The 18,458-nt window shown below is 45.2% G+C and overlaps 1 protein-coding gene across 3 annotated transcripts in view, besides 2 other annotated features; it reads left to right on the top strand.

The window, feature by feature from the left end:
* Positions 1 to 18,458, top strand: part of MACF1 (microtubule actin crosslinking factor 1) — a 402,972-nt gene that overhangs the window by 322,498 nt on the left and 62,016 nt on the right. For 2 of the 3 annotated variants that reach the window (NM_012090.5, NM_001394062.1), the window contains 3 exons: positions 15,710 to 15,871; positions 16,066 to 16,236; positions 17,364 to 17,530. In NM_012090.5, the coding sequence (NP_036222.3) occupies positions 15,710 to 15,871; positions 16,066 to 16,236; positions 17,364 to 17,530 (500 nt within the window). Of the gene's footprint in view, positions 1 to 2,408; positions 7,814 to 15,709; positions 15,872 to 16,065; positions 16,237 to 17,363; positions 17,531 to 18,458 lie in introns of those variants that run through there. The other variant, NM_001397473.1, reaches the window with a different exon arrangement.
* Positions 1,859 to 2,468: a silencer, noted in NCBI's record as "silent region_698". NCBI's record gives its function as "represses an Ori minimal core promoter by ATAC-STARR-seq in GM12878 lymphoblastoid cells {active_cell/tissue: GM12878}" and the evidence as "EXISTENCE:reporter gene assay evidence [ECO:0000049][PMID:35858748]".
* Positions 2,479 to 2,708: a silencer, noted in NCBI's record as "silent region_699". NCBI's record gives its function as "represses an Ori minimal core promoter by ATAC-STARR-seq in GM12878 lymphoblastoid cells {active_cell/tissue: GM12878}" and the evidence as "EXISTENCE:reporter gene assay evidence [ECO:0000049][PMID:35858748]".

An 18,458-nucleotide genomic window follows, 5' to 3' on the forward strand; every position in this document is an offset into this window, starting at 1 on the left:
GCAAAGATTGCAGTGAGCCAAGATTGCGCCACTGCACTCCAGTCTAGGCGACAGAGTGAGACAGAGTCTCACTCAAAAAAAAAAAAAAAAAAAACATTCTTTATAATAGAATAACCACCCATGTTTCATCCAGAGCCAGAATTCCTCAGATTCTTCCAACCAGAGGGGCCCTGGCATGCTAAACAGTCTGTTATGATATCTGAACACTTAAGTGAATGTATTTGGCCAGGGATATTTGCTAGTAAAATTGATCTTTCCTTCCCTGAGTTTTTCCAGTTGTGCTGAATAATTAAAGGAAAATTAAAACCTGGATTCCCTAAACTGTTAAGTATCAGATCTGTAAGCTGTCAGTCCTTAGGATTACAGTGTATCAGAGTTAGAAAGGACTTTAAAATTCATCTGAACAAACTGCAGAAGATTTGTAAATCTGTTTTCCCAAATCTCTGCCAAGTGATTGCTTGAATTTCTGCTCAAACACCTCCAGGGTCAGGAAAGTCACCAGTTTAGGGGACACTCTATTCTTTGAATAGCTGTGAGAAGCTCTTTGTTGGTTTTAAATCTCACATCTTAGTGTGCCAGCTTAAGGAGATACCCAGAACAAGTTTCCTTCCTCCCACGTCTCAGCCCTTCAGATACTTCATGCTAATTACATCTCCTAGAACTTTCTCTAGGTCAGACATTATTGGGTCTTGCACTGTTTGTTCTTCATAGGACAGGGTTTCTAGTGTCTTGGCAGTATACGACCAAGAGGACACAGGATTCTGGGGCAGTGCCTTTAAAAGTTTTAGAACTAAAAAATATTAAAACTAGAAAGGGTGTCAAGACACAACCTAGTCGGCCTCCCCACCCCTTTCAGTTTACAGATGGGCAGAGTCTTTTGGATTTGAGTGGGTAGAATTGATCAGCAGCCGTTGTTGAAGTGAGAAATGAAGTGTAAAGCATTTTACCAGAGAAAGGTCTTTTAGTTGCCTAATTCCGATTACAGGCTTCAGCGCACTTCTCATTTTTGCCAAGGACCAGTCTGATTCCCTAAGTAAGCCTAAGGCTCAGCTCAAGGTTTCAGTGCCAGATCTTCATACACCAGGTGTTGGTTTCACTTACTGTTTGTGTAAAGGATAGAAATAACTTTTCCATAAGTTTTGCGGTATATATTGACCACATGGTCCGACAGAGATTCCGAATTTTAATAGATGTTTTTTTCCTTCATAAAATCAGAGAATGGCCATCACAAATAGAACAGAGTATTGGACCCGTTCAGAGATGCAGCTGCCTCTGGTGGACAGTTTCCTGGGTTGCCCTTTGTACTTTCTTTGTTTAACAGTCACCAGGTGACCAAGTGGCTTTTCTAAAAGCCAAAGGCCGTGGACGACGGGATTGTGAGCGACTTTTCTCTAGTGTTTTCTATTTGAGATTTGAAATACCCATGCTTTTCATCTGGTCCAAGGAGGCTCAGGTTTCCTTGGCTGTGCGCAACTATAAAGGACCCAGGTGTTTGGTCGTAGGGCTCAGCTGTTGGCATCCCCACCTCCCCCAACACCCCATTTTCTTCCGTCATTGATACCACTCAGGTCTGTGAGCAGAGAAATCCTGGTGGGAGAATTGACCAGGACTTGATATACTTGAGAAGGGGGAGAGGGAAGGTAGAATGTGCCTAGAGTTATCCAATAACTTTGGTCTCTGAGCGTGACCGAATTCCTTTGGGACACCGGGAAAGTGCCGGGTTTAAGGCTGGAGTGTTCTTCGGTCCGGCAAGGGGCGCGCTAAAGGTGACACTGGAAGGAGCAGGGACAGCCTTTGGCGGCAGAGATGGAGCCGAGAGCGATGCAGGCGGCCTACCCCAGCCGGCGCGACCTGCCGGCACACGGGAACTCGAGTGGCCGTCGCCAGAGCCGGCTAGCTGGGGGAGCGCGGGCGCCCTTTCTGGATTCGTTCGCCTTTGGGCTGGGCTCGGAGCCGGGCCGGTTGGAGCGAGACAGGGGCGGGAGGGGCCGGGCCAGCGGGAGGAGGGCGGGGCTTTCCTTTGTCAGGGGATTTGCGCCGCGCAGCCCAGACTCGCGCGGGTTCCGTTCCTCTCCTTGCGCCCTCTCCGGGGGCGGGGCGTTCCCCTCTGGCCCCGGGGCGCGGTGGGCGTGGGCTGCGGGAGCCGAACGGCTGGCGTCCCGGGTCTCTCGCTCCGAATCCCGCAGAAGCCCCTCCTTCGGCGCCTCAGCCTCCAATCCTCTCCACCGCTCCCTCCACTCTCGGAGTCGCTCCTCTCCCCGGCCCCGCCCCCGCCGGGCCCCGCCCCCGCCCTCGTCCTCCTTCCTGTGCTCTCCGCGTCGCGCGCTCCCTGGCTTCCAGGGGGCTGCCCGGGCGGGGCGGCGCAGCGCGGCGGCGCGGGGAAGGGGGAGGAGAGCCGCCCGCCAGCCGAGCACTTCCAGCGAGCTAGCGAGCTAGCGGGTCGCGCTGCGCGGGGGAGGAGGACTCGCCCCCCGCCCGACCCTAGCGGAGCCTTTTGTTCCCAGCCAGAAGTTTGCATGCCGGGACCGTGACAGCTGCGGGCGGGGAGGACGGCGGGGCCGCGGGGCCAGCGGCGTGGTGGAGAATAGAGGCGGCTGCTTGTCATGCAGCCCACGGCGTGGCGGCTGCGGGCCGGGGACTGGCGGCGGCGGGCGAGGCGGCGCCCACAGCACTCGGGACTCAGCTGCCGGAGGGACAAACTAACTTCCTGAGCGCGGGACCTGAGGCTGGCGCGGCCGGGAGCCACCTGCAGCCTGCGGTGAGGCGACCCTGGCCCTCGGGGCGCGCGGCATGGCGCGGGGAAGCGGGCCGTGCTGAGCGAGCCCCTCCGACAGACCCGCGGCCGCTGCTGCTGCCCGCCCGCCCGCCTGCCTTTCCGAAGGCCTGGCGCGGGGCTCCGCTCGCCTTGTTTTGCAGCTACAGCGCAGGGTTGGCCTGGGAGCCACAACAATGCCATGATGTTTTGGAGACAGGAAGCCCCAAGCTGGCCCCGAATGAAGGACTTCCTGTGTTTAAAGTTGCAGGAATATCCGCCGACCAGCCCAGTTCAAATGCAAACACCCCAGCTAGGGAGGACGAATGGCTAATTCAGACCAGCTGGACTCTCCAGGGCTGGAACTGAGGATAAAATGAAAGGAATTCTTAGGAGCTTGGGCCATACTTGAAGACTAGAGAGGCTGTGCCATTGTTATTAAAGGATACAATCGGCATAAATTTGCTGCTCCCAACTCTGCTTCGGTGAGAAGTGAGTGGAACTAGATATCGAAAAAGACTCGTCAATATCAGATGATTTTTGTTGACTGTATTTGAAAGAGCAGTGCTCTTAAAAAAAATTAAACCATAAGCCATACAAGGAATTATTTTAAATTATATCGTCTGTCAACCATGAGGCTGCTAGCCTGTGAGGAAAAAGCTGTTTGTCTTAGAGCTTCTCCCAGAATGGTTTCAAAACGGAACTTCCAGGCCTTTCTGGAGGGCAGATGCAATTGGTGGTTTGGGGTATGAACAGCTAAAAGGATTTATAACTTATGTAGAATGCATTTGGGGGGAACCTGTGAAAAATACTTTTGAAAGATTGATGGTTCATCTTGATTGAAAAAGGATGGGTAAGCCACTCAGCAGACCAGACTGTTTAAGGCGGAACCCCAGCTGCCTGGGGAAAGGAGAGGAGGAGGATGGCTACATAGAGGACTGCTATGTTCCACAACGGTCTATATATGATACGATGAGGATAAATGAGCAAATTGACCAGGGGTCAAAGCTTAACCAGACTTCAAAAAGCACCATGGAAAAGATGGAAGGAAGTACTATATCCAGCAATGGTACATTAGGAGCAGCATCTAATGTTTTTGAATCTAGAGCACCAGAAGGTAAGAAGCTGGATGAGAGGATAATATTTGATGCACTAAAGCTAAGCAGTGATGTGCAGAAGTCAGCACCTGTGCCACCCAGAAGGCGGCCAAATGCAGAACGCAAAGACAATGTTAACAGGAGATCGTGGAAGTCCTTCATGCCACCCAACTTCCCAGAATTTGCAGAGAGGATAGAAGCTTCTCTCAGTGAGGTTTCAGAAGCTGGTGCTTCAAATCCTTCCTTGCAAGAGAAGAAGGAGTCCAGTTCTGCATTAACAGAAAGTTCTGGTCATTTGGACCACAGGGAACCTCAGTCAGAGTCAGTAACTCTGGAACATGTGTCCAAATCCATAGGTATTCCAGAGGTGCAAGATTTTAAAAACTTAAGTGGAGACTGCCAGGACTTTAGATTTCAGCAGCACAGTGCAAACCCTCCTCATGAATTCCAGCCTGTAGAATCAGAAGCTGTAGCAACAAGTGGTAACACAGATGTAATGCAGGAATCCAGATTCTCAAGTGCAACCTGGCCGAGGGCCACAAAAAGTTTAGCTAAGGGAGGCTTCAGTGAGAAGCAGCACCCCCTTGGGGACACAGCCTGCACTGTGGAAATGCCACCTCTCTCCCCTTGCCTGAGTGAAGAGCTGTTAGATCCAGAATTGCATGTTCTCATAACCCCCAGCCTGAGAGAGAAAACAGAGTCTGAGCTAAAGTTTGAGGAGGATGAGCGATGGATTATGATGGAGGCTGAGGGAGAGTGGGAGGAAGAGAAACTGTCAGACAGGGAAAAGACTTTTCTGATGGCAGATGAGAAGAACAGCCTGGCAGATATTTTTGAAGAAAGAGAACAAGCAAACACAGCAGTGGTGGAGGATGGATCCGATTGCTTAGCTGCTGTCTTGAGGACTTTTGGCCACCTATCTCTTGGTCAGATTTGTTGCCCTGATGACCCACAGCCAGCCAAGGACCAGTTGGCTACTGTTCCCAAGGATATACCCCTGGATTGCGATTGTGTTCTTACAGGTGAGGATATTCTCGGTGAGGTGGCAAACAGAACTGCTCAGGGGTTAGAGGGACTTGTTTCAGATTCAGCATGTACTGTGGGTACTATTGATGCAGAACAGCTCTCTGACACAGACTCAGTGCAGATGTTTCTTGAACTTGAAAAGGAGTGTTTATGTGAAGAAGGAGTAACTCCTCTAGTTGAGCTACAGAATCAAATCTCTTCTGAAGGGCTGGCTGCATCCCAGGATGCAGAAAATTTACTCGTAATTAGTCATTTTTCAGGGGCTGCCTTAGAAAAGGAACAGCATTTAGGCCTTTTACATGTAAGGGCAAAAGATTATGATACTAGATTGGATTGTGGATATTTTAATACCCTGGATTCTTCTCAGGTGCCTAATGCTGTGGAACTTATTGCCCACGTTGATATCATGAGAGACACTTCCACTGTTAGCAAGGAGGAATGTGAAAAAGTGCCTTTTAGCCCCAGGACTGCAGAATTTAAGTCCAGACAGCCAGCTGATCTGGATTCACTGGAAAAGCTGGACCCAGGAGGACTGCTGAACTCTGATCACAGGGTTTCTCATGAAGAAAAATTATCAGGCTTCATTGCTTCTGAGCTGGCCAAAGACAATGGCAGTTTGTCCCAGGGAGACTGCAGTCAAACTGAGGGGAATGGTGAGGAGTGCATTGAGAGGGTCACCTTCAGTTTTGCTTTTAATCATGAACTAACAGATGTTACCTCAGGACCTGAAGTAGAGGTGTTATATGAATCAAATTTACTAACAGATGAAATTCATTTGGAAAGTGGGAATGTAACTGTTAATCAAGAAAATAACAGTCTGACATCAATGGGAAATGTGGTCACTTGTGAATTGTCTGTGGAGAAAGTTTGTGATGAGGATGGTGAGGCAAAAGAGCTGGATTATCAAGCCACACTTTTGGAGGATCAAGCTCCAGCACATTTCCACAGAAACTTCCCAGAGCAGGTCTTCCAGGATCTCCAGAGGAAGTCCCCAGAGTCAGAGATTCTGAGTCTGCACCTGCTGGTTGAAGAACTGAGACTTAATCCAGATGGAGTGGAAACTGTGAATGATACAAAGCCTGAGCTGAATGTGGCATCATCAGAGGGAGGGGAGATGGAAAGGAGAGATTCAGATTCATTCCTAAATATTTTTCCAGAGAAACAAGTTACCAAGGCTGGTAATACTGAACCAGTTTTAGAGGAATGGATACCCGTCCTCCAGAGACCTTCCCGGACTGCTGCAGTACCCACTGTCAAAGATGCCCTAGATGCTGCACTGCCCAGCCCAGAGGAGGGTACCTCAATTGCTGCAGTGCCTGCCCCAGAGGGAACTGCTGTAGTTGCTGCTTTAGTGCCCTTTCCACATGAGGACATCCTAGTTGCTTCAATAGTCTCCTTAGAGGAGGAGGATGTCACAGCTGCTGCAGTATCAGCCCCAGAGAGGGCTACTGTCCCAGCTGTTACAGTATCTGTCCCTGAAGGGACTGCTGCAGTTGCTGCAGTGTCCTCCCCAGAGGAGACTGCTCCAGCTGTTGCAGCAGCCATCACACAGGAGGGTATGTCAGCTGTCGCAGGGTTCTCCCCAGAGTGGGCTGCTTTAGCTATTACAGTACCCATCACAGAGGAGGATGGTACACCAGAAGGGCCTGTCACCCCAGCTACCACAGTGCATGCTCCAGAGGAGCCTGATACTGCAGCTGTCAGAGTGTCCACCCCAGAGGAGCCCGCCTCCCCAGCTGCTGCAGTGCCCACCCCAGAGGAGCCCACCTCCCCAGCTGCTGCAGTGCCCACCCCAGAGGAGCCCACCTCCCCAGCTGCTGCAGTGCCCCCCCCAGAGGAGCCCACCTCCCCAGCTGCTGCAGTGCCCACCCCAGAGGAGCCCACCTCCCCAGCTGCTGCAGTGCCCACCCCAGAGGAGCCCACCTCCCCAGCTGCTGCAGTGCCCACCCCAGAGGAGCCCACCTCCCCAGCTGCTGCAGTGCCCACCCCAGAGGAGCCCACCTCCCCAGCTGCTGCAGTGCCCACCCCAGAGGAGCCCACCTCCCCAGCTGCTGCAGTGCCCACCCCAGAGGAGCCCGCCTCCCCAGCTGCTGCAGTGCCCACCCCAGAGGAGCCCGCCTCCCCAGCTGCTGCAGTGCCCACCCCAGAGGAGCCTGCCTTCCCAGCTCCTGCAGTGCCCACCCCAGAGGAATCCGCCTCCGCAGCTGTTGCAGTGCCCACCCCCGAGGAATCTGCCTCCCCAGCTGCTGCAGTGCCCACCCCAGCAGAATCTGCCTCCTTTGCAGCTGTGGTGGCCACCCTGGAGGAACCCACTTCCCCGGCAGCTTCAGTGCCCACCCCTGCAGCTATGGTGGCCACCCTAGAGGAATTCACTTCCCCGGCAGCTTCAGTGCCCACCTCTGAGGAGCCTGCCTCCCTAGCAGCTGCAGTGTCCAACCCAGAGGAGCCCACCTCCCCAGCAGCAGCAGTGCCCACCCTAGAGGAACCCACCTCCTCAGCAGCTGCAGTGCTCACCCCAGAGGAACTCAGTTCCCCAGCAGCTTCAGTGCCCACCCCCGAGGAGCCTGCCTCCCCAGCAGCTGCAGTGTCCAACCTAGAGGAGCCCGCCTCCCCAGCAGCAGCAGTGCCCACCCCAGAGGTGGCTGCCATCCCTGCTGCTTCAGTGCCCACCCCAGAGGTGCCTGCCATCCCAGCTGCTGCAGTGCCTCCTATGGAGGAAGTTTCCCCCATTGGTGTGCCCTTCCTGGGAGTTTCTGCCCACACTGACTCAGTGCCTATTTCAGAAGAAGGAACACCTGTTCTAGAGGAGGCTTCCTCCACTGGAATGTGGATCAAGGAGGACCTTGATTCCCTAGTATTTGGCATAAAAGAGGTGACCAGCACAGTGCTACATGGGAAAGTGCCTCTGGCTGCAACCGCTGGATTAAATTCAGATGAGGTAATTGTCCATTTTGATTCTGGGAAGGGTCTAAAGAGTAAAGTGAGATTTGCAGGGCTGACCTGGTGGTGATGAGAAATGGCACAGATAGTTCTTTTGTTCTTTTTGGGTCTCCCGGGCTTATAGTTTGTAGTCTTTCTGTTCAGTTTTTGGGGAAAATATACTTTAATTTTGTCTGGTGAAAGACTTTATAATTTCATGCTTCGTTTTTTATTCAGATAAGCCAATCCCACGGAAAACAGGGATATAAACAGTTGTTGATTTACATTTTTAAAAAGATTATTAGCAGGAAAGGGTCATTCTGTTTTTGAATTATACAGTGAGCATGTTCTTGCCTAAACCAAGAGACAGTTTATTCATTGGTGGTGTCAACATTTAGGTAGAGGCCAGAGTGTGAGCTTTGGAATGAGACCTGGGGTGCTTCCTAACCACTCTGGGAAAATTAGTTAGCTATTCTTGAGTTTCCTGTTTCTTCATTTGTTAAGGCATAACTCTGTGAGGATAAAATGAGATACATTTAAGGTACCAAGCGTATAAGATTACCAATCACTGGCCATATCCTCCCCATTCTTTTCAAATAGGTATGTTGGTTGGTTGAAAGAATTTACCAAAGTAGATTGGAGAGAAGCAATAAAGCTAAATGATTAAGAACTTTTAAATGCAAATATGTGTTTCTGAAAACCAGAGCTAGGCATAATGTTTATGAAAAATAGAGATATTTTAGTCATCTTTGTCAAACTGCCTTTGTGTCCTTAAGCAAGTCATTTTCCTTTCCAGGACCTCATTTCTTCATTATAAAACAAGAAAATTGGGCTAAATGTCCTCTTGGGTCTCTCTTGGCTCTAAGATTCTTTTTATTTTTTTTTTTTAGATGGAGTCTGGCTCTGTCAGTCAGGCTGGAGTGCTAGAGTGCAGTGGTGCGATCTCAGCTCACTGCAAGCTCCACCTCCCGGGTTCACGCCATTCTCCTGCCTCAGCCTCCCGAGTAGCTGGGACTACAGGCGCCCGCCACTACGCCCGGCAATTTTTTGTATATATATATATATAATTTTTTTTTTTTTTTTTTAGTAGAGACGGGTTTCACTGTGTTAGCCAGGATGGTCTCAATCTCCTGACCTCATGATCTGCCCGCCTCGGCCTCCCAGAGTGCTGGGATTACAGGCGTGAGCCACCGCGCCCAGCCGGCTCTAAGATTCTTAATGTTAGAGAACCGAATGTGTTAGGAAACAGTTGGAAACGATGTTCCACATCCTTGAGCACTCCTAGTCCAAGGAATTTGAGATCAGCAGCTTTCCACAGTTAATTACCCAGGTTTGATTTGGTCAGTGGTAAAGAGTGCAGGAGTTAGAGGTTTAATCTGAACACAAGAGATGACTGAGTGAGAAGATTGTTTTGATTTTACTGCGCCCCTAGGACTCAAAATAGTGCCTTCTTCATAGCAGGCATTTGCTGTTGACTGACTGACTGAATGCATGAATATCAATTTCCTAGACTATGGATGGATGCTACAAGAAAGATGGGTTTTCTCATTCACCTCACTGCAGAGCCTTTCAGGGCAGCCTTAAGTCAGCTAGAGCACCAGCTAAACATGCAGGTCCTGACAACAAAATCATTTTGATTGCATGCCATAAACTCTTTGATTAAGAGGATTGATTAAGATAATCTGGCCTTGCTGAGTGGTGGTGGTTTTACCTTGAGCTTTACCAGTTATTTTGTCAGGTAGCATTCCATTAAATTAGGATGCATCATCTTTGAGACTGATGGATTTTTGATTCATTTTTCCGAGTTTTATTGAATTTGGAATGACACCGAGATCCCAATAGCCTGTACAAAGTGAAGACAGTAGGTCAACAACAGAGCCATTCTTGATAATACAGAATATTTCACACCAGGCACAGTGGCTCACACCTCTAATCCCAACATTTGGGAAGCCAAGGGAAGAGGATTGCTTGAGGCCAGGAGTTCGAGAACAGCCTAGGCAACATAGTAAGACCCCATCTCTGAGAAAATAAAAAGAAAAAAAAAAAAACAGAATATCTCCAGTATAAAGCTTATATAGCAGTAATCATGAAATATAAGGATTAAATTTATAGTGAGGCAATCAAATCTGCATAAAGGGGAAAAAGTCATAGAAATCCTGTATCAGTCTCTGGAATCCTTGTTTCCTCATCTGCAAAATGAGTAGATGGCTACATAATCTCTAACTATCCTTCCAGCTACAGGAGGTAATCCTTTTATGAAATATTGCCTGATGTAAATGACAGGAGAAGGAAATGGTAGCCCAGCTGCAAAGTTGTCCATCTTTGAAGTGTGGTTACTTTGTGGAATATCTGGAAGTGAGCAAATGCCTATATCTGTGTACAGGAAAGGATAGATCTGAGCCTCAGCCAGGACTGTTAACCAGCAAGAATGTAGAGAGGCCATTTTGAAAATATTGAAACAAAACAAATCATTATAGAGTTAACATGAGTATACAGGTTTGCTAAATTGGTGAAATATTATTTTAAAAGGTTTTTCCAAGATGAGAGGTTAATTTTTTATTTCTTCCATTCCCTTAGGATTCCAAGAGGCAACTGAACCTGCCATTTTTATATATAAATACTTAGAACTCAACAAGTGATTTAGCATGAACTGAGGTCCTCTATGTCTGTATGTATATGTGCAAGTGCAGACATGGATACATGGTTAAAATAGATATAAACTTTGTAATTGCAATAACAACAGAGTTTGGTAGAACTAAAATGCCAAAAACTCGTTTGCTTTTTCTGTAATGGGATCTGAGGCCTACTGAGACCAATCTCTGGTTATGTAAATTCCCTGCTTATTTATAGACCTCTTCAGTCTTAATCCCAGCCACTGGTTCAAAGGAAGAAAAAAACCTTTTGTATAAAATAAGGGTTCTATAAGATTACAATTTGCCAAGGGAGTCTTTTTAAGCAAAAATTGGAGAGCACCACAATTCCAGTTCAGTGTTTGAACGCTCTGCTGATCGGCAGAATCTTCATTGGTTTTTTGCATTCCCTAACACCGTTTGTGTACAAGGATTCATTCATTCATGGAACAAAAAAAAGTTTTTGTTTTTTTTTTTAGACAGAGTCTCACTCTGTTGCCCAGGCTGGAGTACAGTGGCACAATCTTGGCTCACTGCAGCCTCTACCTCCCGGGTTCAAGCAATTCTCCTGCCCCAGCCTCCGAAGTAGTTGGGATTACAGGAATGTGCCACCACACCCAGTTAATTTTTTTTTTTTTTTTTTTTTTTTTTTTTTTTTTTTGGATTTTTAGTAGAGACAGGGTTTCACTGTGTTGGCCAGGCTGGTCTCGAACTCCTGACCTCAGGTGATCCGCCTGCCTCGGCGTCCCAAAGTGCTGGGATTACAGGCATGAGCCACCACACCCGGCCTGAGTAAATATTATGAGTACCTACTCTGTGCCAGGTACTAGGCTCCTGCAGTAAATAGAATTGACATGGTCCTTGGCCTTGTGGAACTTATACTGAGTGGAGGAGGCAGATATTAAGAAAACCACACATAAATAAATATAAAATAAATACATAGTTAGAAATTTTGGCAAATTCTTTGAATAAAATGATGTCAATGGATTTGAAGACAATAGGGTGGATTGAAGATATATTTTGGAGGTAAAATCAACAAGATCTGATTGTGGCTTCTGTGTTGGGGCTGAGGGAGTTATCAAGGGTGACTTTTAGGTTCTGGTTTGTACAGTGGAGTGGATAGTATAAATTATTGATTTAAGGAAGAGGTAAGGGAAAGTGGGAGACACTGTTTCATTTTTGAACTGTTAGGCTTGGGATGCCTGTGGTTCATTTTTTTGCATGGAGATATTAAAAAAGCAGTTGGATACGTAGCTTTGAAACTCAGAGAGACAAATTGAGAGTCATAAGCATTTATTGTGGTTAGTATTTAAACCCACAGAAATTGATGGAATTGCCTAGGAAGAATATAGAAAGAGAAGAGAGTCCAGGACTGACGTCGTTCTCTCACTCCCACCCCCAAAGATCATTTAGAGATCTAGAAGAGGAGAAAGAAAACAAAGGACAACAGAAAAGAATCAGTCAGGATAAAACTGGAAAAATGCAATAACAAGGCTGGATGCCGTGGCTCATGCCTGTAATCCTAGCACTTTGGAAGGCTCAGGCAGGCAGATCACTTGAGGTCAGGAGTTCAAGACCAGCCTGGCCAACATGGTGAAACCCTGTCTCTACCAAAAAATACAAAATTAGCTGGGTGTGGTGGCGCATGCCTGTAGTCCCCGTTACTTGAGAGACTGAGGTGAGAGAATCACTTGAACCTGGGAGGCAGAGGTTGCAGTGAGCTGAGATTATGTCACTGCACTCCAGCCTGGGCAACAGTGTGAGACCCTGTCTCAAAAAAAAAAAAATGCAGTAACAAAGATAAAAGTGTTTTAAGGAGTTCTTTGGGAAATTTTCTATTTTGTGTCCTAGTTGCATCTTACAACCTTGCAACAATTTTTACTAGTGTACTTCTTTGGAAAATGTCTGCCAGTACTGCTTAGTTAATAACATGACACAGTCCTATTTCACTAACAGTGTGTGAAATACTAAGGAGTAGGAATTTTAGTGTATCTAAAAGCACTGGTTTTGCAAAACAGCTTTATTTGGGAGTTGACAGAAGGAAGCAGGTGTTTTCAAATGTACGTTCTTTAACGTTCTGTTCACTTTTATTCAAAATAGATAATATTTAGAGGTGCTTTCATATATGTTTTAACTTATGAGAAATGATACAAATACCCATTGTCCCTGTCAATCCATAGAGTGAAGGTGAGAAATGAAGGAATAGCTAATGCTTCTATAGGAAATGTTTGTAAACAAAGTAAATCCAAAAGTTTAAAGTTGCAGTAGCTCTTATTATAGATTGAACATCCAAAATGCAAAATGCTCCCAAGTCTGAAACTTTCTGAATGCTGGCATGATGCTCAAAAGAAATGCTCATTGGAGCATTTCAGATTTCAGATTTTCAGATTTGGGATGCTCAACCGGTAAGTATTTAATGTAGATATTCCAAAATTTTAATAAATCTGAAATCAGAAACACTTCTGTTCCCAAGCATTTTGGATAAGGGATATTCAGCTTGTATATGAAAGAGATTATTGAACTATTTAAATATAATTTTACTTTTCTTTCTTTCTTTTTTTGAGATGGAGTTTCTCTCTTGTTGCCCAGGCTGGAGTGCAGTGGCATGATCTCGGCTCACTGAAACCTCCACCTCCCGGGTTCAAGCAATTCTTGTGCCTCAGCCTCCCAAGTAGCTGGGACTACAGGCGTGCGCCACCATGCCTGGCTAGTGTGTGTGTGTGTGTGTGTGTGTGTGTGTGTGTGTGTGTGTGTATTTTTAGTAGAGACGAGGTTTCGCCTGTTGCCCAGGCTGGTCTCAAACTCCTGAGCTCTGGCAATCTGTCTGCCTTGGCCTCCCAAAGTGCCAGGATTACAGGCATGAGCCACTTGCCTAGCCTATTTTACTTTTCTGTGTCATTTAAAGTGCTGTCCAGTAGGACTTGCTGCCAAGATGGATTTGTTCTCTATCAATAGTCCAGTAGAGTAACCACTGGCCATATGTGGCTTTGACTATGTGAAACGTGGCTAGTGGGTCTGAGGAACTGGATTTTAAATTTAATTTAAATGTCAATAGCTATATGTAGCTGCTGGCTGTCATGTTGGAAAGCACAGAAAGAATTTAAATGTCAGTTGTAGAGTGAGATAGGATTTGGTTATTGAGTAAAAGAGGGCCCTGTAATGTGGACTTGACATCTTCCCTCCATACCTTGGCTTTCTGCCTTCTTTGCCTTTTCATTCCTTCACCTTCACCACCACCATTTTATTGTACCAAAAGCAGCTTTAAACTTGGGATGTTTTTCCTGCCTCTATCTGATTTTTCTTCAGCAGAAACATCTTTAATGCTACAAAATGGAATTATAGCAGTTGTTTTTTCTGGGAACCATGTTGTTGGAGAAATAGTCATTTTAACTGAACTGCTTTGTAATGTTGCCTAAGAAAATATGGTATAATCAAATTATAGTAAAAAAATGAAGTGCACTCATAATTACTTTTATAACCTTCCTTTTTCAGTGTTCCCTGGGGCTTTCCCTCCCTGGTAATCTTAGCCAGCCATAGACCATTCTTTCTAGAATCAGTTTCCTAATCCTAGTGTGGTCTGTAGTCTCATATTGACCAAAATTGGTCTTACTCAAACTTATCATTTTCTTTTATATTTATTTTTGTCCTCTTCCATTTTCTGTCATCCTCTGGCCTTAATTGACTCACCTGGCTCATGGAAGAAAAAGGAAGGGAAATAAATCCAGGCTAGTGAAATATAGCTGGTTCTATCCCTCTGATAACTGAGAGAAACCCAATTTTTTTTTTTTTTTTTTTGAGATGGAGTCTTGCTCTGTTGCCCAGGCTGGAGTGCAGTGGCTCAGTCTCGGCTCACTGCAAGCTCTACCTCCCGGGTTCACTCCATTCTCCTGCCTCAGCCTCCCGAGTAGCTGGGACTACAGGTGCCCGCCACCATGCCCGTCTAATTTTTTGTATTTTTAGTAGAGACAGGGTTTCACCATGTTAGTCAGGATGGTCTCAATCTCCTGACCTCATGATTTGCCCGCCTCGGCCTCCCAAAGTGCTGGGATTACAGGCGTGAGCCACTGTGCCCGGCCACTTCATACTCTTAATGTGGCAGAAGTACCATTCTCTTCTGACCCTTTTTTCCTTTTAGACATGTCTAAATCGTAATGGAGCTTAACTGTAGTAGAGCAAAATATACACGTTGCTTGTTACACCTATTCACATTGTTTTAAAATTCTGTTGCACCATGGTAAACGTGGATAATACAGTATCATTTTTGAGCAGTTTTTTAAATGTAAATCTGTATCTTACTCAGAGTGTGTGTCTGAAGTTATTAAGGACATTTCCCAACGTTACTGGCCCATTTCCCTTTGTAATCAGAGGAATTCTGTTTCAAGATTATTGTTGTGTGTGATCTGTGGCTCTTGATCAGAATGAAGTTAAATGGCCACAGGAGGATTAAGCTATGAGGTTGGCATTTTTCACACTGTTAATATGTTTTGACTAATTGAGTTATTAGTCTTAGTCAGAGAAGAGCATTTCTTATTAGTGGTCAGTTAAGGCTATTCCCCAAGGGATATTCCATCTTAAATACTAGTCATTTGGTATTATTCTATTCTTCTCTTTTAGGATTCATATACATTGCGCTTACTTGTACAGCATTTCGAGGTTGATGCTTTTCTATTCTCCATGGCTTTTTGCATTAAAAATTAAGCAACAGGCCGGGCGCGGTGGCTCACGCCTGTAATCCCAGCGCTTTGGGAGGCCGAGGAGGGCGGATCACGAGGTCAGGAGATCGAGACCATCCTGGCTAACACGGTGAAACCCTGTCTCCACTAAAAATGCAAAAAAATTAGCTGGGCATGGTGGCGGGCGTCTGTAGTCCCAGCTGCTCAGAAGACTGAGGCAGGAGAATGGCATGAACCCGAGAGGCGGAGCTTGCAGTGAGCCGAGATCACGCCACTGCACTCCAGCCTGGGCGACAGAGCGAGACTCTGTCTCCAAAAAAAACAAAAAAAAATTAAGCAACAGATTTTAAAAAAAAGAACAAAGGAAAGAGTCATTGGGTTAAAGACCTAAGTAGTGTCATAACTCTCTGTAATTACATGTCCATAGGAGAATGTATTGAAATACAAAACCACATGTTTTCTTGATGCTTCACGTGCAAATGCTTGTTCTTTCTTTTTATTCCTGGTCGTCTTTCATTAAGTCATAAATGCCCCAAGAATAACCAGTCTCTGCGTGGTATAGAGAGTCTAATAGCCTTTGTATTAAATCTTCTTTGGCTTGTAATTATCTAGATGTTTCAGAAAGAACAAGTGGATCCTCTTCAGATGAAATTGCAGCAGGTGAATGGACTTGGCCAGGGATTAATTCAGAGTGCAGGAAAAGACTGTGATGTACAGGGTTTAGAACATGACATGGAAGAGATCAATGCTCGATGGAATACATTGAATAAAAAGGTGAGTGACAATGGGGTAGCAAGTGTACTGGAAACGGAAGGCATAGAAAAGAGACATCTGAATCTAAGGTTTCCCGAAACCTGAATGGAAATAAAAATTTAGCAGTTGCAATCTATAATTACTAAAAGAGGTCAGTAGTAATTTGAAAACTACTTTCTCCGTTCTCATAATGAACCTACATGTTCATGATACAGGTCGCACAAAGAATTGCACAGCTACAGGAAGCTTTGTTGCATTGTGGGAAGTTTCAAGATGCCTTGGAGCCATTGCTCAGCTGGTTGGCAGATACCGAGGAGCTCATAGCCAATCAGAAACCTCCATCTGCTGAGTATAAAGTGGTGAAAGCACAGATCCAAGAACAGAAGGTAAGTGAGAATGTTGGGACAGTGAACTGTAACAGCCGTAGGGAGTAGTAGACAACACATTTGCTTATAGTTTAAGAAGCAGTTCAGGAGTTTTAGTAGAATCCTAAACTACTTTGTGTCGTCCTGAAAAGAAAGGTGGAAATTGATTTTCATTATCTTACTTAAATCTGGTTTACTGTGGCATATATTAGACTGAATAATTTTACCTGTTCATGTATCCTATTTCAGTGTTCATCTACAATTTTGTGTTAAGAGGTTTTTGGTGTTTTCAGGGTCAGCAATATTCTAAATAGTGTTGTATATCATGTACAAAGTTTTATCTATATTTTTTGTTGGTTTAATTTCTATTTTAGTGCAGTTTTTTCTTTTTAAAAAAAATTTATCCCAAAGGAAATTTTATTTTTTTCTCAGCTTTATTGGTATATAGTTGACAAATAAAAATTGTATATGTTTGGCTGGGTGTGGTGGTTCACGCCTGTAATCCCAGCACTTTGGGAGGCCGAGGCAGGCGGATCACAAGGTCAGGAGATCGAGACCATCCTGGCTAACACGGTGAAACCCCATCTCTACTAAAAATACAAAAAATTAGCCGGGCATGGTGGTGGGCGCCTGTAGTCCCAGCTACTCGGGAGGCTGAGGCAGAAGAATGGTGTGAACCTGGGAGGCGGAGCTTGCAGTGAGCCGAGATCGAGCCAGTGCACTCCAGCCTGGGAGACAGAGCGAGACTCTGTCTCAAAAAAAAAAAAAAAAAATGTTTATAATATACAATGTGATGGTTTGATATACATATACGTTGTGAAATGTTTACCGTAGTCAAGATAATTAACATATTCATCACTTCAAATGTTAACCATTTTTTACGGCACTTTTCTCTTGGTTCAAAGGAAGTTCCCTGTTAGTCACATAATGACAGTCACTGCTCCATTTAAAAATTTAAGTGTGTGAAAAGTATACGAGTGGTGAGAACTGTGCTATATCTCCTGTTTTTGCCCCAAGGATGAAAAAAACTTCTTTTACTCAATGAAGCTTAGGATTTGGCGGGTTGGTTTCTTTTGTTTTTTTTCTTTCTTCCTAGTTCAGATTTCAAAATGATCCTGTGTTACAGCTTTTCATTCTCTTTATAATAGTTGCTCCAGCGGCTCCTAGATGATCGAAAGGCCACAGTAGACATGCTTCAAGCAGAAGGAGGCAGAATAGCCCAGTCAGCAGAGCTGGCTGATAGAGAGAAAATCACTGGACAGCTGGAGAGTCTTGAAAGTAGATGGACTGAACTACTCAGTAAGGCAGCAGCCAGGTAAGATCAAAGGAATTTTGAGGAGTGGGTCAGAGGTTTGTTTTGTTCTTCTTCGACTTATTATCACTATAAGTTCTTGGATGATTCATATAGATTTTTGGAAGGTGTTTAATGGCTTTTATTTGAAATGGGATAAGATTTTAGAGATGATCCTCATAATCAGAATCACACTCAGGAAATGGTCTCCAGCATCTTCATAAATTTCCGAGAGCTGGAAAACTCATTGCTCTGTGTGGTTGTTCTGCTGTAGTATAATCATAGTTCCAAATGACAGACACAGACTCCTACAGTCCAGCCGAGTTATTTTCTGAGTTTTTCAAACAGATTTCCCCCTCTTATATTTATAAATAATGCTTTTGATACTTGGAATTGAAATGTGTCATATTTCTTTTCTATTAGCTTATAGTAATATTAGATTTTTTTGCCTTTAGGAGCTAGTCTGTGGTTCTGTTAAATATCTGGGAATTCAAGAGATGCATGAACTTACCTCAATAAATGGTCAAAAAGACAGGCAACAAATCCTCCTTCAAGGAAATATTCCCTTTCTCTTTTCATAGCTATAAGTTATCCTGTGACTTGAGCTTAATAAGTCACATAGATGTCTTTACTTTTATACAGTCCTCAGTTTTAAAATTAAATACCAGCTAATGAGAAATCAATAAGAGAGCTGATCATTTGTTATTGTATCCTTTACATTTCCTAGGTAGCCTATGGCAGTCTTCAAATAATTCCCTCTTCAGTCTTTTTATGTCCACCTGCCCATGACTTGGCTTATTCCTTACCTGAGTTGCAAAGTATGGCTTGCCTATGTTAGTGGAAGAAACAAAATGGAAAGAATTTAACTTACTTGTATTTCCAGATTTGTACTGCTTATTTTCTTTTCTCTCTGTCCATTTCCAGTAATGGTACCATTAGCTTTCCAGTTTCC

Source organism: Homo sapiens, chromosome 1 (genome assembly GCF_000001405.40).
Source record: "Homo sapiens chromosome 1, GRCh38.p14 Primary Assembly".
In the NCBI taxonomy this organism is placed as follows: Eukaryota; Metazoa; Chordata; class Mammalia; order Primates; family Hominidae; genus Homo; species Homo sapiens.